The 20600-nt window shown below is 39.9% G+C and overlaps 1 long non-coding RNA gene across 10 annotated transcripts in view, besides 2 other annotated features; it reads left to right on the top strand.

Annotated features, from left to right (window-relative positions):
* The window catches only part of LOC107985664 (uncharacterized), a 270484-nt gene that overhangs the window by 36180 nt on the left and 213704 nt on the right, over positions 1 to 20600 (top strand). Inside the window, exon 2 of one of the 10 annotated variants that reach the window (XR_001755889.2) lies at positions 20315 to 20432. The exons of the other annotated variants lie outside the window; for them this stretch is intronic. This is a non-coding gene — a long non-coding RNA (uncharacterized LOC107985664). The remainder of the gene's footprint in view (positions 1 to 20314; positions 20433 to 20600) is intronic. 10 annotated transcript variants of the gene reach the window in all.
* Positions 1088 to 1589: an enhancer, noted in NCBI's record as "H3K4me1 hESC enhancer chrX:74780229-74780730 (GRCh37/hg19 assembly coordinates)". NCBI's record gives its function as "activates a minimal SCP1, AML or CMV promoter by ChIP-STARR-seq in primed H9 embryonic stem cells {active_cell/tissue: H9 hESC(primed)}" and the evidence as "EXISTENCE:reporter gene assay evidence [ECO:0000049][PMID:30033119]".
* Positions 1590 to 2089: an enhancer, noted in NCBI's record as "H3K4me1 hESC enhancer chrX:74780731-74781230 (GRCh37/hg19 assembly coordinates)". NCBI's record gives its function as "activates a minimal SCP1, AML or CMV promoter by ChIP-STARR-seq in primed H9 embryonic stem cells {active_cell/tissue: H9 hESC(primed)}" and the evidence as "EXISTENCE:reporter gene assay evidence [ECO:0000049][PMID:30033119]".

Here is a 20600-nt window from a genome sequence, read left to right on the forward strand (position 1 = left end):
CTTTCCATGTTTAGCGCTTCCTTCAGGAGCTCTTTTAGGGCAGGCCTGGTGGTGACAAAATCTCTCAGCATTTGCTTGTCTGTAAAGTATTTTATTTCTCCTTCACTTGTGAAGCTTAGTTTGCCTGGATATGAAATTCTGGGTTGAAAATTCTTTTCTTTAGGAATGTTGAATATTGGCCCCCACTCTCTTCTGGCTTGTAGAGTTTCTGCCGAGAGATCTGCTGTTAGTCTGATGTGCTTCCCTTTGAGGGTAACCCGACCTTTCTCTCTGGCTGCCCTTAATATTTTTTCTTCATTTCAACTTTGGTGAATCTGACCATTATTTGTCTTGGAGTTGCTCTTCTCGAGGAGTATCTTTGTGGCGTTCTCTGTATTTCCTGAATCTGAACTTTGACCTGCCTTGCTAGATTGGGGAAGTTCTCCTGGATGATATCCTGCAGAGTGTTTTCCAACTTGGTTCCATTCTCCCCATCACTTTGAGGTACACCAATCAGACGTAGATTTGGTCTTTTCACATAGTCCCATATTTCTTGGAGGCTTTGTTCATTTCTTTTTATTCTTTTTTCTCTAAACTTCCCTTCTCGCTTCATTTCATTCATTTCGTCGTCCATCGCTGATACCCTGTCTTCCAGTTGATCGCATCGGCTCCTGAGGCTTCTGCATTCTTCACGTAGTTCTCGAGCCTTGGTTTTCAGCTCCATCAGCTCCTTTAAGCACTTCTCTGTATTGGTTATTCTAATTATACATTCTTCTAAATTTTTTTCAAAGTTTTCAACTTCTTTGCCTTTGGTTTGAATGTCCTCCCGTAGCTCAGAGTAATTTCATCATCTGAAGCCTTCTTCTCTCAGCTCGTCAAAGTCATTCTCCATCCAGATTTGTTCCGTTGCTGGTGAGGAACTGCGTTCCTTTGGAGGAGAGGCACTCTGCGTTTTAGAGTTTCCAGTTTTTCTGTTCTGTTTTTTCCCCATCTTTGTGGTTTTATCTACTTTTGGTCTTTGATGATGGTGATGTACAGATGGGTTTTTGGTGTGGATGTCCTTTCTGTTTGTTAGTTTTCCTTCTAACAGACAGGACCCTCAGCTGCAGGTCTGTTGGAATACCCTGCCATGTGAGGTGTCAGTGTGCCCCTGCTGGGGGGTGCCTCCCAGTTAGGCTGCTCGGGGGTCAGGGGTCAGGGACCCACTTGAGGAGACAGTCTGCCCGTTCTCAGATCTCCAGCTGTGTGCTGGGAGAACCACTGCTCTCTTCAAAGCTGTCAGACAGGGACATTTAAGTCTGCAGAGGTTACTGCTGTCTTTTTGTTTGTGCCCTGCCCCCAAAGGTGGAGCCTACAGAGGCAGGCAGGCCTCCTTGGGCTGTGGTGGGCTCCACCCAGTTCGAGCTTCTGGGCTGCTTTGTTTACCTAAGCAAGCCTGCGCAATGGCGGGCAACCCTCCCCCAGCCTCGCTGCCGCCTTGCAGTTTGATCTCAGACTGCTGTGCTAGCAATCAGCGAGACTCCGTGGGCGTAGGACCCTCCGTGCCAGGTGCGGGATATAATCTCGTGGTGCGCCGTTTTTTAAGCCGGTCCGAAAAGCGCAATATTTGGGTGGGAGTTATCCGATTTTCCAGGTGCGTCTGTCACCCCTTTCTTTCACTTGGAAAGGGAACTCCCTGACCCCTTGCGCTTCCCAAGTGAGGCAATGCCTCGCCCTGCTTCAGCTCGCGCATGGTGCGCACACCCACTGACCTGCGCCCACTGTCTGGCACTCCCTAGTGAGATGAACCCGGTACCTCAGATGGAAATGCAGAAATCACCCGTCTTCTGCGTCGCTCACGCTGGGAGCTGTAGACCGGAGCTGTTCCTATTCGGCCATCTTGGCTCCTCCGCCCTGTTTTGTAGCTTTCATTGTATCATTTTTTTCCCATCCTTGGTTAGGTTTTCCCTAAGTATTTTATTTTTCTTTCATTTTGTTTTATTTTATTTTTATTTTATTATTATACTTTAAGTTTTAGGGTACATGTGCACAATGTGCAGGTTAGTTACATATGTATACGTGTGCCATGCTGGTGCGCTGCACCCACTAACTTGTCATCTTGCATGAGGTATATCTCCCAATGCTATCCCTCCCCCTTCCCCCACCCCACAACAGTCCCCAGAGTGTGATGTTCCCCTTCCTGTGTCCATGTGATCTCATTGTTCAATTCCCACCTATGAGTGAGAATATACGGTGTTTACTTTTTTGTTCTTGCGATAGTTTACTGAGAATGCTGATTTCCAATTTCATCCATGTCCCTAAAAAGGGCATGAACTCATCTTTTTTTATGGCTGCATAGTATTCCATGGTGTATATGTGCCACATTTTCTTAATCCAGTCTATAATTGTTGGACATTTGGGTTGGTTCCAAGTCTTTGCTATTGTGAATAATGCTGCAATAAACATACGTGTGCATGTGTCTTTATAGCAGCATGATTTATAGTCCTTTGTGTATATACCCAGTGATGGGATGGCTGGGTCAAATGGTATTTCTAGTTCTAGATCCCTGAGGAATCACCACACTGACTTCCACAAGGATTGAACTAGTTTACAGTCCCACCAACAGTGTAAAAGTGTTCCTATTTCTGCACATCCTCTCCAGCACCTGTTGTTTCCTGACTTTTTAATGATTGCCATTCTAACTGGTGTGAGATGGTATCTCATTGTGGTTTTGATTTGCATTTCTCTGATGGCCAGTGATGGTGAGCATTTTTTCATGTGTTTTTTGGCTGCATAAATGTCTTCTTTTGAGAAGTGTCTGTTCATGTCCTTTGCCCACTTTTTGATGGGGTTGTTTGTTTTTTTCTTGTACATCTGTTGGAGTTCATTGTAGATTCTGGATATTAGCCCTTTGTCAGATGAGTAGGTTGCGAAAATTTTCTCCCATTTTGTAGGTTGCCTGTTCACTCTGATGGTAGTTTCTTTTGCTGTGCAGAAGCTCTTTAGTTTAATTAGATCCCATTTGTCTATTTTGCCTTTGTTGCCATTGCTTTTGGTGTTTTAGACATGAAGTCCTTGCCCATGCCTATGTCCTGAGTGGTAATGCCTAGGTTTTCTTCTAGGGTTTTTATATTTTTAGGTCTAAAGTTTAAGTCTTTTATCCATCTCGAATTGATTTTTGTATAAGGTGTAAGGAAGGGGTCCAGTTTCAGCTTTCTACATCTGGCTAGCCAGTTTTCCCAGCACCATTTATTAAATAGGGAATCCTTTCCCCATTGCTTGTTTTTCTCAGGTTTGTCAAACATTACATAGTTGTAGTTATGTGGCGTTATTTCTGAGGCCTCTGTTCTGTTCCATTGATCTATATCTCTGTTTTGGTACCAGTACCATGCTGTTTTGGTTACTGTAGCCTTGTAGTATAGTTTGAAGCCAGGTAGTGTGATGCCTCCAGCTTTGTTCTTTTGGCTCAGGATTGACTTGGCAATGCGGGCTCTTTTTTGGTTCCATATGAACTTTAAAGTAGTTTTTTCCAATTCTGTGAAGAAAGTCATTGGTAGCTTTATGGGGATGACATTGAATCTATAAATTACCTTGAGCAGTATGGCCATTTTCACGATATTGATTCTTCCTACCCATGAGCAGGGAATGTTCTTCCATTTGTTTGTATCCTCTTTTATTTCCTTGAGCAGTGGTTTGTAGTTCTTCTTGAGGAGGTCCTTCACATCCCTTGTAAGTTGGATTCCTAGGTATTTTATTCTCTTTGAAGCAATTGTGAATGGGAGTTCACTCATGATTTGGCTCTGTGTTTGTCTGTTGTTGGTGTAAAAGAATGCTTGTGATTTTCGCATATTGATATTGTATCCTGAGGGTTTGCTGAAGTTGCCTATCAGCTTAAGGAGATTTTGGGCTGAGACGAAGGGGTTTTCTAGATATACAATCATGTCATCTGCAAACAGGGACAATTTGACTTCCTCTTTTCCTAATTGAATACCCTTTATTTCCTTCTCCTGCCTAATTGCCCTGGCCAGAACTTCCAGCACTATGTTGAATAGGAGTGGTGAGAGAGGGCATCCCTCTCTTGTGCCAATTTTCAAACGGAATGCTTCCAGTTTTTGCCCATTCAGTATGATATTGGCTGTGGGTTTGTCATAGATAGCTCTTATTATTTTGAGATACATCCCATCAATACCTAATTTATTGAGAGTTTTTAGCATGAAGGGATGTTGTATTTTGTCAAAGGCCTTTTCTGCATGTATTGAGATAATCATGTGGTTTTTGTCTTTGGTTCTGTTTATATGCTGGATTACATTTATTGATTTGCGTATATTGAACCAGCCTTGCATCCCAGGGATGAAGCCCACTTGTTCATGGCGGATAACCTTTTTGATGTGCTGCTGGATTCGGTTTGCCAGTATTTTTTTGAGGATTTTTGCATCAATGTTCAACAAGGATATTGGTCTAAAATTCTCTTTTTTTTGTTGTGTTTCTGCCCGGCTTTGGTATCAGGATGATGCTGGCCTCATAAAATGAGTTAGGGAGGATTCCCTCTTTTTGTATTGATTGGAATAGATTCGGACGGAATGGTAGCATTTCCTCCTTGTACGTCTGGTAGAATTCGGCTGTGAATCCATCTCGTCCTGGACTCTTTTTGGTTAGTAAGCTATCCATTATTGCCAGAATTTCGGCTCCTGTTATTGGTCTATTCAGAGATTCAAGTTCTTCCTGGTTTAGTCTTGGGAGAGTGTATGTGTCGAGGAATTTATCCATTTCTTCTAGATTTTCTAGTTTATTTGCGTAGAGGTGTTTGTAGTATTCTCTGATGGTAGTTTGTATTTCTGTGGGATCAGTGGTGATATCCCCTTTATCATTTTTTTTTTGCATCTATGTGATTTTTCTCTCTTTTTTTCTTTATTAGTCTTGCTAGTGGTCTATCAATTTTGTTGATCCTTTCAAAAAACCAGCTCCTGGATTCGTTAATTTTTTGAAGGGTTTTTTGTGTCTCTATTTCCTTCAGTTCTGCTCTGATTTTAGTTATTTCTTGCCTTCTGCTAGCTTTAGAATGTGTTTGCTCTTGCTTTTCTAGTTCTTTTAATTGTGATGTTAGGGACTCAATTTTGGATGTTTCCTGCTTTCTCTTGTGGGCATTTAGTGCTATAAATTTCCCTTTACACACTGCTTTGAATGCGTTCCAGAGATTCTGGTATGTTGTGTCTTTGTTCTTGTTGGTTTCAAAGAACATCTTTATTTCTGCCTTCATTTCGTTATGTACCCAGTAGTCATTGAGGAGCCGGTTGTTCAATTTCCATGTAGTTGAGCAGTTTTGAGTGAGATTCTTAATCCTGAGTTCTAGTTTGATTGCACTGTGGTCTGAGAGGTAGTTTGTTATAATCTCTGTTCTTTTACATTTGCTGAGCAGAGCTTTACTTCCAAGTATGTGGTCAATTTTGGAATAGGTGTCTTGTGGTGCTGAAAAAAATGTATATTCTGTTGATTTGGGGTGGAGAGTTCTGTAGATGTCTATTAGGTACACTTGGTGCAGAGCTGAGTTGAATTCCTGGGTATCCTTGTTGACTTTCTGTCTCCTTGATCTGTCTAATGTTGACAGTGGGGTATTAAAGTCTCCCATTATTAATGTGTGGGAGTCTAAGTCTCTTTGTAGGTCCTCAGGACTTGCTTTATGAATCTGGGTGCTCCTGTATTATGTTCATATATTTTTAGGATAGTTAGCTCTTCTTGTTGAATTGATCCCTTTACCATTATGTAATGGCCTTCTTTGTCTCTTTTGATCTTTGTTGGTTTAAAGTCTGTTTTATCAGAGACTAGGATTGCAACCCCTGCTTCTTTTTGTTTTTCATTTGCTTGGTAGATCTTCCTCCATCCTTTAATTTTGAGCCTATGTGTGTCTCTGCACGTGAGATGGGTTTCCTGAATACAGCACACTGATGGGTCTTGACTCTTTATCCAATTTGCCAGTCTGTGTCTTTTAATTGGAGCATTTCGTCCATTTGCATTTAATGTTAATATTGTTTTGTGTGAATTTGATCCAGTCATTATGATGTTAGCTGGTTATTTTGCTCGTTAGTTCATGCAGTTTCTTCCTAGTCTGGATGCTCTTTACATTTTGACCTGATTTTGCAGCAGCTGGTATTGGTTGTTCCTTTCCATGTTTAGCGCTTCCTTCAGGAGCTCTTTTAGGGCAGGCCTGGTGGTGACAAAATCTCTCAGCATTTGCTTGTCTGTAAAGCATTTTATTTCTCCTTCACTTGTGAAGCTTAGTTTGGCTGGATAGGAAATTCTGGGTTGAAAATTCTTTTCTTTAAGAATGTTGAATATTGGCCCCCACTCTCTTCTGGCTTGTAGAGTTTCTGCCGAGAGATCTGCTGTTAGTCTGATGTGCTTCCCTTTGAGGGTAACCCAACCTTTCTGTCTGGCTGCTCTTAACATTTTTTCCTTCATTTCAACTTTGGTGAATCTGACCATTATGTGTCTTGGAGTTGCTCTTCTCAAGGAGTATCTTTGTGGCGTTCTCTGTATTTCCTGAATCTGAATGTTGGCCTGCCTTGCTAGATTGGGGAAGTTCTCCTGGATGATATCCTGCAGAGTGTTTTCCAACTTGGTTCCATTTTCTCCGTGACTTTCAGGTACACCAGTCAGACGTAGATTTGGTCTTTTCACATAGTCCCATATTTCTTGTAGGCTTTGTTCGTTTCTTTTTATTCTTTTTTCTCTAAACTTCACTTCTCGCTTCATTTCATTCACTTCATCTTCCATTGCTGATACCCTTTCTTCCAGTTGATTGCATTGGCTCCTGAGGCGTCTGCATTCTTTACGTAGTTCTCGAGCCTTGGTTTTCAGCTCCATCAGCTCCTTTAAGCACTTCTCTGTATTGGTTATTCTAGTTATACATTCTTCTAAACTTTTTTCAAAGTTTTCAACTTCTTTGCCTTTGGTTTGAATGTCCTCCCGTAGCTCGGAGTAATTTGATCGTCTGAAGCCTTCTTCTGTCAGCTCGTCAAAGTCATTCTCCATCCAGCTTTGTTCCGTTGCTGGTGAGGAACTGCGTTCCTTTGGAGGAGGAGAGGTGCTCTGCTTTTTAGAGTTTCCAGTTTTTCTGCTCTGTTTTTTCCCCATCTTTGTGGTTTTATCTAGTTTTGGTGTTTGATGATGGTGACGTACAGATGGGTTTTTGGTGTGGATGTCCTTTCTGTTTATTAGTTTTCCTTCTAACAGACAGGCCCCTCAGCTGCAGGTCTGTTGGAGTACCCTGCCATGTGGGGTGTCAGTCTTCCTCTGCTGGGTGGTGCCTCCCAGTTAGGCTGCTCGGTGGTCAGGGGTCAGGGACCCACTTGAGCAAGCTGTCTGCCCGTTCTCAGATCTCCAGCTGTGTGCTGGGAGAACCACTGCTCTGTTCAAAGCTGTCAGACAGGGACATTTAAGTCTGTAGAGGTTACTGCTGTCTTTTTTTTTTGTCTGTGCCCTGCCCCCATAGGTGGAGCCTACAGAGGCGGGGAGGCCTCCTTTAGTTGTGGTGGGCTCCACCCAGTTCAAGCTTCTGGGCTGCTTTGTTTACCTAAGCAAGCCTGGGCAGTGGTGGGCGCCCCTCCCCCAGCCTCGCTGCCGCCTTGCAGTTTGATCTCAGACTGCTGTGGTATCAATGAGCAAGACTCCGTAGGCGTAGGACCCTGGGAGCCAGGTGTGGAATATAATCTCCTGGTGTGGCGTTTTTTAAGCCCGTCGGAAAAGCGCAGTATTTGGGTAGGAGTAACCCAATTTTCCAGGTGCCATCTGTCACCCCTTTCTTTGACTAGGAAATGGAACTCCCTGAACCCTTGCGCTTCCCGAGTGAGGCAATGGCTCGCCCTGCTTCGGCTCACGCATGGTGCAGGCATCCACTGACCTGCGCCCACTGTCTGACACTCCCTAGTGAGATGAACCCGGTACCTCAGATGTAAATGCAGAAATCATCCGTCTTCTGCATCGCTCACGCTGGGAGCTGTAGACCGGAGCTCTTCCTATTCGGCCATCTTGGGTCCTCCCCCCATTCTTTTATTTTTTAAGAATATTTTTGATAAATAGAGAGACAAGGCCAGGTTTAGTTATAACTGCTATATCTTCCTGTCAAGTTGATCCTCATCATTTTATAGTGACCTTTTTGTTTCTTGACAAAAAGTGTTTTGAATTGAAGCCCATTTTGTCTGATTAAGTGTAGCTACCCCTACTTTCTTTTAGTTACTATTTACATGGGATATATATTCCTATCTCTTTGCTTTCATTATATGTGTCCTTAAGACTAAAGTGAATCTCATATATAGCATTTCACTGGATCTTACTTTTTAAAATTCATTCAGCCAGTCTCTGGCTTTTGTGAATTTGTAATGAGTATTTTTGGAATTATTTTTGGGAATTTCATAGATCTCCATTTGTTTTGAGTTGTTTACTGGAAATTTATTATGTTCCTTTGGTGGCGGGGGATCATGTTTTCTGATTTTTCATATTCCTTGTAGCCTTGCATTGTGTTCTGTACATTTGAAGAAGTCACTTCTTGAAGCCTTTACAGAGTAGATTCTATAGGGAAAGATTTTCTCCTGCAAGTGGGTATGAGGGTACTGGTTGGGTAGGGTGCATATCAATGCCAGATTAGAACCAGGTCTGGGTTTGCAAGGGGACATCAATTATGGGGGTGTGCAGGGGCACCAGGTGCAGGAGCATACAGAGGCAACAGGTCTGAGGTGTGGGTGTGGGTGCATGTGGTGGAGCCAAGGCTTGGGGACAGGTGTTGTGTTACTGGCTCTAGAAGAGTGCACACCAGCTGCAGCTCTAGGAGTATGCAGTGGTGTAGAGTCCAAGCAACTCTGGATGGTGGGGTCTGCATTGGCAAAGACTGTAGAAGTCCTCGGCAGTGAATGCTGCAGAGGTCCTTGGTAGTGGCAAGGGCTGCTGAGGTTCTCTTGCTTTCATTTCCCCTCTGGAGACCTTATGGTTGAGGTGATTACTCTTTGTACTGAGCTATGCTAGCCTGGGGTACAGGAGGACAAGGATAAAATTCTTCCTACCCTTTTCTATGTGGCCATCCTTAGTTTTTGTGTTCCGCTGGTTTGCTACAGATTTGTTATTGTACTCAGGAGCACTCCCAGAGATATTTTTGTCTATGGATATTTACATTATTGTTTTTGTTAGAGGATGAGGGCTGGCACGTCCTAGTCTGCCTTCTTACTGACATCACTCCTGGTTCTATTATTGATAGAACAATGTTGAAATCTCCAACTGTAATAGTAGATTCATCTATTTCTCTTTGTAATTCTATCAGTTTTTGCTTCACATATTTAGGCACATTTTTGTTAGGTACATGCACATTAAGGATTGTTATATCTTATTGGAGAATTGACAGTTTTATTATTATGTAATGCTTTTTATTATCCCTGACAGTTTGCCATACTTTGAAGTCTGCTGTGTCGGGAAATAATATAGCTACTTTCATTTTACTTTGATTAGTATGAGAGTAGTGTATTATTCTCTATTCATTTACTTTTAATCTATTTGTGTGTTTGTATTTAAAGTGCATTTATTTAGAGAATAAACAGGTTGGGTCTTGCTTTTTGATCTAATCTGACAATTTTTTAATCTTTTAATTGGAATATTTAGACTATTGGCATTCAAAGTTATTATTGATATATTCAGATTAATATTTACCATATTTGTTACTGTTTTGTGTTTGTTGACCCTGTTTTATTTTTCTATTTTTGCCTTTCACTTTCTTCTACATTTTATGGTTTTGATTGAGCATTTTACATGATTCCACTTTATCTGCTTTCTTAGAATATTAGTTATACTCTTTTTAACTTCAGTTTGTTTTGCTTTTTACTTGTTCTTAGGACAGAGTGATGATTCTAACATTTTTACATGTTAGGCTGGATTTCCAAAGCCATTTTTTTTTTTACTATCAGATTTTTTATGGTTAGTTTGCCAACCCTGGTCTAGAAAAAAAACAAGATTCAAATTCCAAAGAGCACAACTATAAACATCAGCACTAGATGGTCAAAGCCTCTTCCATTCTTTGTAAGAAAATGGATGGATATTGGTGAGGCTGGCGGTGGAAGTCTCAGTGGGCCCAAGGTAGAAGCAGAGAGTTTTCATCCAAGGTACCTTGGGGTGACCAAACCAGAGAACAGAATGAGTTGAAACAATGTAGGAAAGCCAGAGCGGGGGAGGCCAAGGCAGGCAGATCATGAGATCAGGGAATCGAGACCATCCTGGCTAACACGATGAAACCCTGTCTCTACTAAAAATACAAAAAAAAAATTAGCCGGGCGTGGTGGCGAGCGCCTGTAGTCCCAGCTACTCAGGAGGCTGAGGCAGGAGAATGGTGTGAACCTGGGAGGCGGAGCTTGCAGTTAGCCAAGTTCACGCCACTGCACTCCAGCCTGGGCGACAGAGCAAGACTCCATCTGAAAAAAAAAAAAAAAAAGAAACAATCTAGGAAAAATGATGGTTAAGGAGGAGGGGGGATTGATTGAAGTTTATTACAACTCAAGGAAGGCTAGAGGCAGGAATTTGAAGCTGAGACAAAGCCAGACATCCAGAACCAGGGAGATTAAAAGATGAGAGCAAGAATAAATGCAGACAACTTGGAATCAATGGCAGCAACAACTGGAGTGGGTTGTTGGTGTAGTCGGAAAGAACGAGAGAATGAGAATATGCTTTTAGAGGTGGTGTGAGAGGTCTGAGGTGATTACTAAAATGCCTGTTAGTATATGTAGCTTAGGTTTATGAGTCAGCCAATGTATGATACTTATGTGGGTCAGTCAGATTAACAGAAAAATGGTAGACATAACCCTTTACTGAGTTGGTGCACACTGTTCCTAGATTTTCCTGAAGGAAAATTCCGACATATTTTAAAATGTTTTGTGGTAGCAGGAAAGCTCCTATAACTGCTCTTCTAGCTGATATCTGTCCAATTGTGCTAAGTATTGGAGCTGATTAGTATCAATGGCAGTCAAATACTTATTTCACTATGTATTCTGATTTCCCATATGAAGTTTCCTAGGCAGTTGGAGAGGCATGGGATGGCATTGATAGGTAGGACCTAGCAGGGAGTGGTGGAATAGATATTAATATAGTTTGGGTGGGAAGCAATTGGAACTTGAAAGGCTGGCATGGTTTTTCAATAGCCACAAATATTATTGTCAATGTTAGATAATGATGACAGGTCTGAAAAGGAGAAGGCAGCATGCCACACATTTATATCTCCCATGGAGCTATTCAGCTGTCTTATAGTATATCTTCTTGGGTGGTTTTTATCCCTTCTGGGTACTATGGGGCCTGACAGGGTTGTAGTATTGCTTAATATTAAGTATGGGGGAAATTGTGGGTCAGTGTTATAGAAGTCTCTCAATAGTGCTTTTTAGAACCTGGATGTTAAGTGAGATCTTTGGTCAACTTTCAGGTTTTATGAAGTTCATGGAAATGAGACACTTCTTTGATAAACAAAGTGGCAATACTAGTTGTGAATGGGAGTTCGGGAAAGGGGATAAAACCTATCATCTTAATGAGGATTCTACCACTTCCAATATGGTATCATATCTTTAAGAAGGAGAAAGATCCATGTTGAAGTACAATGAAATGGTATTTAATGGAGAATTTGGTGGTCAAGATAGGATAGAATAATACATTTGGGATTGCAGTGCCTGTCCATATAAACACTCTGTGTCCTCAGTCTAAAAGAACCATGCCTGGCATATAGTAGGTGCTTGATAAATATCTTTTGCACGAATGAATGATTTTCTTTTCACTTACTAGCCATGTTAAGAGTTTTGAATGGGCTGCAGTGGCTTTTTAAGGTAGTGAAGAAGAACCACGTACCTGAAGTTTAGGCTACTCTTTTTATGACATAGAACACTCTTTGAACATTGGGACTAGCTGCTAGTAGTTAGTTGAATAAGCATGTTATGTGAGAAGTTTCCAAGATTATCCCCGTGTTTTGTGATTTGCTAGAAAGACACACAGGGCTCTGCATATAGTCTTTTATAAATCTTTTTATTATTTAAAAAAAGTGGGGACATAGTGTGTATTTATATATATATATATATATATATATGCACACACACACACATATATGTATGCATGTATATGGTACATGAGATGTTTTGATACAGGCATGCAATGTGAAGTAAGCACATCATGGAGAATGGGCTATCCATTTACTCAAGCATTTGTCGTTTGAATTACAAACAATCCAATTACATTCTTTAAGTTATTTAAAAATATACAAGACTTATATTGTGCTAAATATAGCAGGTCTTATTTATCGTATATTTTTTGTACCCTTTAACCATCCCCACCTCCTCCTCAGCCCCCATACCCTTCCCAGCCTCTAGTAACCATCCTTCTATTCTTTATATCCATGAGTTCAATTGATTTGAGTTTTAGATCTCACAAATAAGCGAGAACATGTGATGTTTGCCTTTCTGTGCCTAGCTTATTTCACTTTACATAGTAATCTCCAGTTCTGTCTATGTTGTAAATGATTGGATCTCATTCTTTTTTATGGCTGAATAGTACTCCATTGTGTTTATGTACCAAATGTTCTCTATCCATTCATCTGATGGTGGACACATGGGTTGCTTCTAAGTCTTAGCTAATGTAAAAAGTGCTGCAACAAAAAGTGCAGATATCTCTTTTATATACTGATTTCCTTTCTTTGGGTATATACCCAGTGTAGGGAGACCCCCTGAAACTATTGCTATGGAATAAAAGATGAAATGCTCCTGATTATTGTAAATACAAAATTGCATGCAGGATTGTGTAAAGACAATGCCAGGTTGGACTGCCAGAATGAGCCAACAGCATGTGATGTGCTTCCTCCTGCAGAGAGCCTATGAATGGACGTGCAGTCAGGGAGGTTTCATATCACCAAGATTCCTATCCCAGAAAAGCAGATGTTCATAGCTCTGGGAATGGATTGCGACCCTTGTGGAGGGCCTATAAATGGACACATGAGGGGTGCCTTTTCATATGGATAAGGTAGGGCTATAAACGCCTTCATCTTGCCATGGCTCTTCTAGGCCTCTTTAGGGTTAAGACATACTCCCTTCTGAGAATTTCTGGTCTAACCAGTTGTCTAGCTTCACGTCCTGTTTCTATGGATTGTTTGTAACCAGCTTTTGCTGCAACTGTTACTGCTGATAAATATCTTGCTAATCATAGGTTATGGAAAGACTGTGTTTCAGTTTTAAGGTTCTGTTAGAAATTACTGATACACACACTATATTGTAAATTCTTATCTCTGTATACTGTACTTCTGCATACAGATGTTATGTTAGAGAATTACTTCATCCCCATGTGACCATCTCACATCATAATCAAATGACCCTAAATCTCTCACTAACCTACCCCCACCCTCACTAAACTTAATAATAAATGCTGGTATATCCAGTGCATTGGCAGCATCGTGGGACCAGAAGGCGGTGACCCCCCTGGACCCAGCTTTCACTATCTTGTGTGTGTCTATTATTTCTTGACCTGCCGATCTGTCTGGGAACAAAGAAAGAGCCCCGTTGCATTGCGGGCTGCTGGCCCGATCCTGCAATAACCCAGCAGTGGGATTGCTGGATTTTATGGTAGCTCAATTTTCAGTTTTCTGAGGAACCTCCAAACTGTTCTCCATAGTGGTTGTGCTGATTTACATTCTCACCAACACTATATGAGGCTTTCTTTTTCCCCACATCCTCACCAGCATTTGTTATTGCCTGTCTTTAGATATAATTCATTTTAACTGGGATGTGATGATATCACATTATAGTTTTGATTTGCATTGCTCTAATGATCTTTTCGTATGCCTACTTGCCATTTGTATGTCTTCTTTTGAGAAAGGTCTATCCAAATATTTTGCCCATTTTTTGATGGGATTATTAGATTTTTTTCCGGTAGATTTGTTTGAGCTTCTTATATATTCTGGTTATAAATCCTTTGTCAGATGGGTAGTTTGCAAATATTTTCTCCCATTCTGTGGGTTGTCTATTCACTCTGTTGATCATATCCTTTACTGTGAAGAAGCTTTTGTCCATGTTTGACTTGGTTGCCTGTGCTTGTGGGGTATTGCTGAAGAAGACTTTGCCCAGACCAATGTCCTAGAGATCTTATTCAATGTGTTCTTGTAGTAGCTTCATAGTTTGAGATCTGAGATTTAAGTATTTAATCCATTTTGATTTGATTTTTGTATATGGCAGGAGATAGGGGTCTAGTTTTATTTTTTGTCATATGGGTATCCAGTTTTCCCAGCACCATTTATCAAAAAGATTGTCTTTCCCTCAGTGTATGCTCTTGGTAACTTTGTCAAAAATGACTTCAATGATGGGTGGGTGGATGTGTGCCTGGGTTCTGTATTCTGTTCCATTTGTCTGCATGTCTGTTTTTATGCCAGTACCATGCTATTTGGGTTACTATAGTTATGTAGTATAATTTGAGTCATATAGTTATGTAGTATAATTTGAGTCAGATAATGTGATTCCTCCGATTCTGTTCATTTTTCTTTGGATAGCTTTGGTTATTCTGGGTCTTTTGTTATTCCATATAAGTTTTAGAATTTTTTTCTATTGCTGTGAAGAATGTCATTGGTAGTTTGATAAGGATTGCATTGAATCTGTAGATTGCTTTGGGTAGTATGAACGTTTAAAAAATACTATTTTTCCAATACATGAACATTGAATATCTTTCAATATTTTTGTGTCCTCTTTAATTTCCTTCATCAGTGTTTTATAGTTTTCATTATAATAATCTTACACTTCTTTGGTTGAGTTAATTTCTGAGTATTTAATTTCATGTGTAGCTATTGTAAATGGAATTACTTTTTAAATTTCTTTTTCAGATCGTTCACTGTTGGCATATAGAAATGCTACTGATTTTAGTATGTTGATTTTGTATCCTGAAACTTTACTGAATTTATCAGTTATAACAGTTTTCCTGTGGAGTCTTAGGATTTTCCAAATATAAGATTATACCATAGCAAACAAGGATAATTTGACTTCTTTCTTTCTAATGTGGATGCTGTTTATATCTTTCTTTTGTCTGATTGTTCTAGCTAGGATCAGTATGATACTAGCTGTGTGTCTGTCATATGTGGCTTTTATTGTGTTTAGGTGTGCTGCTCCTTCTATACACAATTTTTTAAGCGTTTTTATCCTGAGGAGATGTTGAATTTTATCAACTTTTTCAGCATAAATTGAAGTGCTCATATAATTTTTATCCTTTGTTATGTTGATATGATATACCATATTGATTCATTTGTGTGTATTGAACCATCCTTGCGTCCTAGGGATAAATCTCACTTGGTCATGAGGAATGATCTTTCTAATGTATTGTTGAATTCAGTTTGATAGTATTGTTTGAGGATTTTTGCATCAGTATTTATCAGAGATATTGTCCGGTAGTTTTTTTTTTTGTTTTTTAATGTCTTTTTCTGGTTTGGGTATCATCGTACTACTGGCCTTATAGAATGAGTTTGGATGTATTTCCTCCTCCTCTGTATTTGGGAATAGTTTGAGTAGAATTAGTATTAGTTCTTCTTTAAACATTTGGTAAAAAACATTTGATAGCTTGTATGTATCTAGGAATTTGCCTATTTCTTCTAGATTTTCCAATTTATTGGCATATAGTTACTCCTAGTAACCACTAACAATCTTTTGAATCTCTAACAATCTTTTGAATTTCTGCAGTGTCAGTTGTAATGTCTTCTTTTTCATTTGTGATTTAATTTACTTTAATTCCTCTCTTTTTTTCTTAGTTTAGGTAAAACTTTGTCAATTTTGTGTAACTTTTCAAAAACAGCCACTTTTTGTTTCATTGACCTTTTGTATTGTTTTCTTTATTTCAATTTCATTTATTTCTGCTCTAATCTTTGTTATTTCTTTTTTTGTATTAGTTTTGAGTTTGGTTTGCTCTTTCTTTTCTAGTTCTTTAAGACGCATCATCAATTTTTTTGTTTGAAGTTTTTTCTCTGTTTTGATGTAGGCACTTATAGCTATAAATTTCCCTCTGAGTACTGCTTTTGCTGTGTCCCATAGGTTTTGGTGTATTGTGTTTCCATTATTATTTATTTCAAGAAATTTTTCATTTTTTTTCTTAATTTCTTCATTGACCCACTTGTCATTTAGGAGCATATTGTTTAATTTCCATGTATTTGTATCATTTCCAAAATTCCTCTTGTTATTTATTTCTAGTTTTATTCCACTGTCTTCAGAGAAGCTACTTGATATTATTTCAGTGTTTTTGAATGTATTATGATTTGTGACTTAACATATGGTCTGTCCTTGAGAATGATCCCTGTGCTGAGGAAAAGAATGTGTAGTCTGTAGTTATTGGATGAAATGTTCTGTAATTATCTATTAGAACCATTTGGTCTATAGTGCAGATGAAGTTTGATATTTCTTTGTTGATTTTTCTGTCTGGAAGCTTTGTCCAGTGCTGAAAGTGGGGTGGTGAAGTCTTCAGCTATTATTGTACCAGGTCTTATCTTTCTCTATAGCTCTAGTAATATTTGCTTTATATATCTGAGTGTTCCAGTGTTGGGTGCATATATACTTATAATCATTATGTCCTCTTGCTGAATTGACCCCTTTATCATTATGTAGTGATGTTCTTTGTGTCTTCTTATAGCTTTTGTCTTGAAATCTGTTTTGGCTGACATAAGTATAGCTACTCCTACTTTTTTTTTTTTTTTTTTCATTGACATGGAATAACTTTTTCCTCTCCCTTTATATTCAGGCTATGTGTGTCTTTATACGTGAAGTGTGTTTCTTGTAGACAACACATCAGTGGGTCTTTTTACTTATTTATTTAGCTAGTCTGTGTCTTTTTGATTGGATAATTTTGTCCATTTTCATTCAATGTTATTATTGGTAAGTAAAAACTTACTTTCACCATATTGTTATTTGTTTTCCAGTAGTTTCGTGGTCTTTTCTTCCTTCCTTCTTTCCTTTGTGTCTTCCTTTAGTGAAGGGGATTTTCTCTGGTGATATGATTTTGTTTCTTGCTTTTTATGTTTTATGTCTCCATTGTATGTTTTTAGGTTTGAGGTTGCCATGAAGCTTGCAAATACTATTTTACAACCCATTGTTTTAACCTGATAACTTAACACTGTTAGCATAAACAAACAAATGAGCAAAATAAAACAAGTAGAAACCTTATGGTTGAACTTCGTCCCTCGCTTTTTAATATTTTGTTGTTTCTATTTATATCTTATTGTATTGGCTATGTCTTGAAAATTTGTTGTAGTCATTATTTTTGATGGGTTCATTATTTAGTCTTTTTACTTAGGATAAGAGTAGTTTACACACCACAGTTATAGTGTTATAATATTCTGTGTTCTTCTGTGTACTTACTACTACCAGTGAGTTTTGTGCTTTCAGATGATTATTGCTCATTATTGTCCTTTTATTTCTGGTTGAAATACTGCTCTTTTTATTATTATTATTATTATTTTTTATTATACTTTAAGTTTTAGGGTACATGTGCACGTTGTGCAGGTTAGTTACATATGTATACATGTGTCATGCTGGTGCGCTGCACCCACTAACTCGTCATCTAGCATTAGGTATATCTCCCCATGCTATCCCTCCCCCCTCCCCCCACCCCACAACAGTCCCCAGAGTGTGATGTTCCCCTTCCTGTGTCTATGTGATCTCATTGTTCAATTCCCACCTATGAGTGAGAATATGTGGTGTTTGGTTTTTTGTTCTTGCGATCATGCTGCTATAAAGACACATGCACATGTATGTTTATTGCGGCATTATTCAGAATAGCAAAGACTTGGAACCAACCCAAATGTCCAACAATGATAGACTGGATTAAGAAAATGTGGCACATATACACCATGGAATACTATGCAGCCATACAAAATGATGAGTTCATGTCCTTTGTAGGGACATGGATGAAATTAGAAATCATCATTCTCAGTAAACTATCGCAAGAAATACTGCTCTTAACATTTCTTATAGGACAGGTCTGGTATTGATGAAATTCCTCAGCTTTTGTTTGTCTGGGAAAGTCCTTATTTCTCCTTTATGTTTGAAGGATATTTTTTCTGGATATACCTTTCTAGGGTAAAAGTTTTTTTCCTTCAGCACTTTGAATATGTCATGCTACTCTGTCCTGGCCTGTAAGGTTTCCACTGAAAAGTCTGCTGCAAGGTGTTTTGGAGCTCCATTGTATGTTATTTGTTTCTTTTCTCTTTCTGCTTTTAGGATCCTTTCTTTATCCTTGACCTTTGGGAGTTTGATTATTAAATGTCTTGAGGTAGTTTTCTTTGGATTAAATCTGCTTGGTATTCTTCAAACTTCTTTTACTTAGATATTGATATCTTTCTCTGGGTTTGGAAAATTCTCTGTTATGCCTTTGAATAAACTTTCTATTCCTGTCTATTTCTCTACTTCCTGTTTTAGGGCAATAACTCTTAGTTTGTCCTTTTGAGGTTATTATCTAAGTCCTGTAGGAATGCTTTTATTTGATTTTTCTCAACACAGCTATTTTGAATTCTTTGTCTGAAAAGTCACATATCTCTGTTTCTCCAGGATTCATCCTGGGCTCTTACTTAGTTCATTTGATAAAGTCATATTTTCCTGGTTGATATTGATGCTAGTAGGTGTTCTTTTTTGTCTGGGCATTGAAAGGTTAGGTGTTTATTATAGTCTTCACTCTGGGCTTATTTGTAGCTGCCCTTCTTGGGAAGGTTTTCTAGTATTTGAAAGGACTTGGGTGTCATGACCTAAGCTGCTTCTGCTCTAGGGGACACCCCAAATATAGTAACATTGTGGTTTTCACCGACTTATAGAGGTATCCTCTTCATGGTCTTGGACAAGATGGGGAAGAATTCTCTGAATTACCAGGCAGAGACTTGTTCTCTTCCCTTACTTTCTTCCAAAAAAGAATCTCTCTTTCTAAGCCACCTAAAGCTGGGAATGGGTGGCACAAGCAACCCTGTGGCCACCACCACTATGGCTATACTGGGTCAGACCTGAAGCCAGCCCAGTGCTGGATCTAGCCTAAGGCCTGCTGTGACCCCTCCCTTTCTATTTCCTGTGTTCACTCAAAAGTCCTGGGGCTCTACAATCATCAAGTGGCAAAGCTAGCCTGGACTGTGTCCTTCCTTTCAGGGAGGCAAGGTCCCCCAATTCCCTGGTGGGTCCAGAAGTGCTGTTTGGAATTCACGGACTACAGTCAAATTCCTTTGAAGTCTACCAAGTGTTCTATTGCTTTGTGACTGTGCTGGCAGTCAAACCACAAAACACATTTTTAAAAACTCTTCCCTCCCCTTTTCAAAGGCAAAGGAACCTCATTTCCTAGCTACTGCCACCCCAGCCCACAAAGAGTACTGCCAGACTATTGCTTATACTCCCTTAACACCCAAAGTCTCTTAAGTCAGCTTGTTATGAATGCTCCCTGGCCTGGGACTCACCCTTCAGGACAATATTCTCACCTTTGGCCCAGGGCAGGTCCAGAAATGCTGTCCAAGATTCAAGTCCTGGAATTGCTCTACCCCACTGTGGCCATGCTGGTACCTAATGTGAAAGACAAAGTCCCCTTTCCTTTTTTCTCTGCTTTTCTCAAGCAGATGGAGTTTTGCCCTGTAGCCACCACAGCTGGTCATGTGCTGTGAGTCTCACCTGAAGCCAACAAGTCTTAGCCATTCACCCAAGGCGGGTGTCACTGCTCATTATTTAGGGTCGAAGGGCTCTTCAGTTGGCATGTGATAAATGCTGTCAGGACTGGGTCCTTTCCTTCAAGGCAGCAGGTTCTCTTCTGGCCCAGGGTGTGTTTAGAAATGTCTGGGATCTAGGGCCTAGAATGGGGCCCTTAGGACTCTGACCAGTGCCCTATCCTGCTGTGGCTTAGCTGGTATCTTAGATGTAAGATAAAGTTCTCCCCTCTCTTCTCTCTCTTCTCCTCAAGTGGAAGGAAGGAGTCTCTTTTGAAGCCATGAGCTGTGCAGCCTGAAGTTATGGAGGGGTGATGGCAATATTCCCTTGGCTGCCCCAGCTGATGTCTTAGTATGTCATGTGCTCACTCAGTTCACTGTCTCCAGGCCTAATTTAGCACTAGAACTCACCTAAGAGTTGCAGTTCTTATGTCCTAGACTGCTTTTCAAGTTTACTTGGGGACACAGGATTCTATTGTCTTTAGTGGTGAGGTTTGCAGGCACTCAAGTTTGGACTTCTAGAATTGATAATTTTCCTCTGGCAAGGTCTGATTTAAATGCTCCCTTCGTAAGTGGGCATCAGCTGAGTTTGGTCTGGTTTTCCTTTCTGCTCTAACTGGACATCACTGAGTTCATTGGGTAATAACTGCTGTGTTCTTTTTCCCCCAGTGCCTAGAGAAGCTCTCTGCACCACTCTGTGGCTGCCAGAGTGGAGGAGGGGTAGCATCAGCAATTCAGGACTTTTGTCTCTTCAGTGCCTCTTTCAACAATATGAAGTTAAATCCAGGTACTATGAATGCTCACCTGATTTTTGGTTCTTATGAAGGTATTTTTTTTCTTCTGTGTAGATAGTTGTTAACTTGGTGTCCTTGTGATGGGGATGATTGGTGGAGCTTTCTATTCCATCATCTTGCCTGCACATAGTTTTATGGACGGTTAAGAGTTATTCTAGTGA

The sequence above is a fragment of the Homo sapiens genome, chromosome X (assembly GCF_000001405.40).
Source record: "Homo sapiens chromosome X, GRCh38.p14 Primary Assembly".
Taxonomy (NCBI): domain Eukaryota; kingdom Metazoa; phylum Chordata; class Mammalia; order Primates; family Hominidae; genus Homo; species Homo sapiens.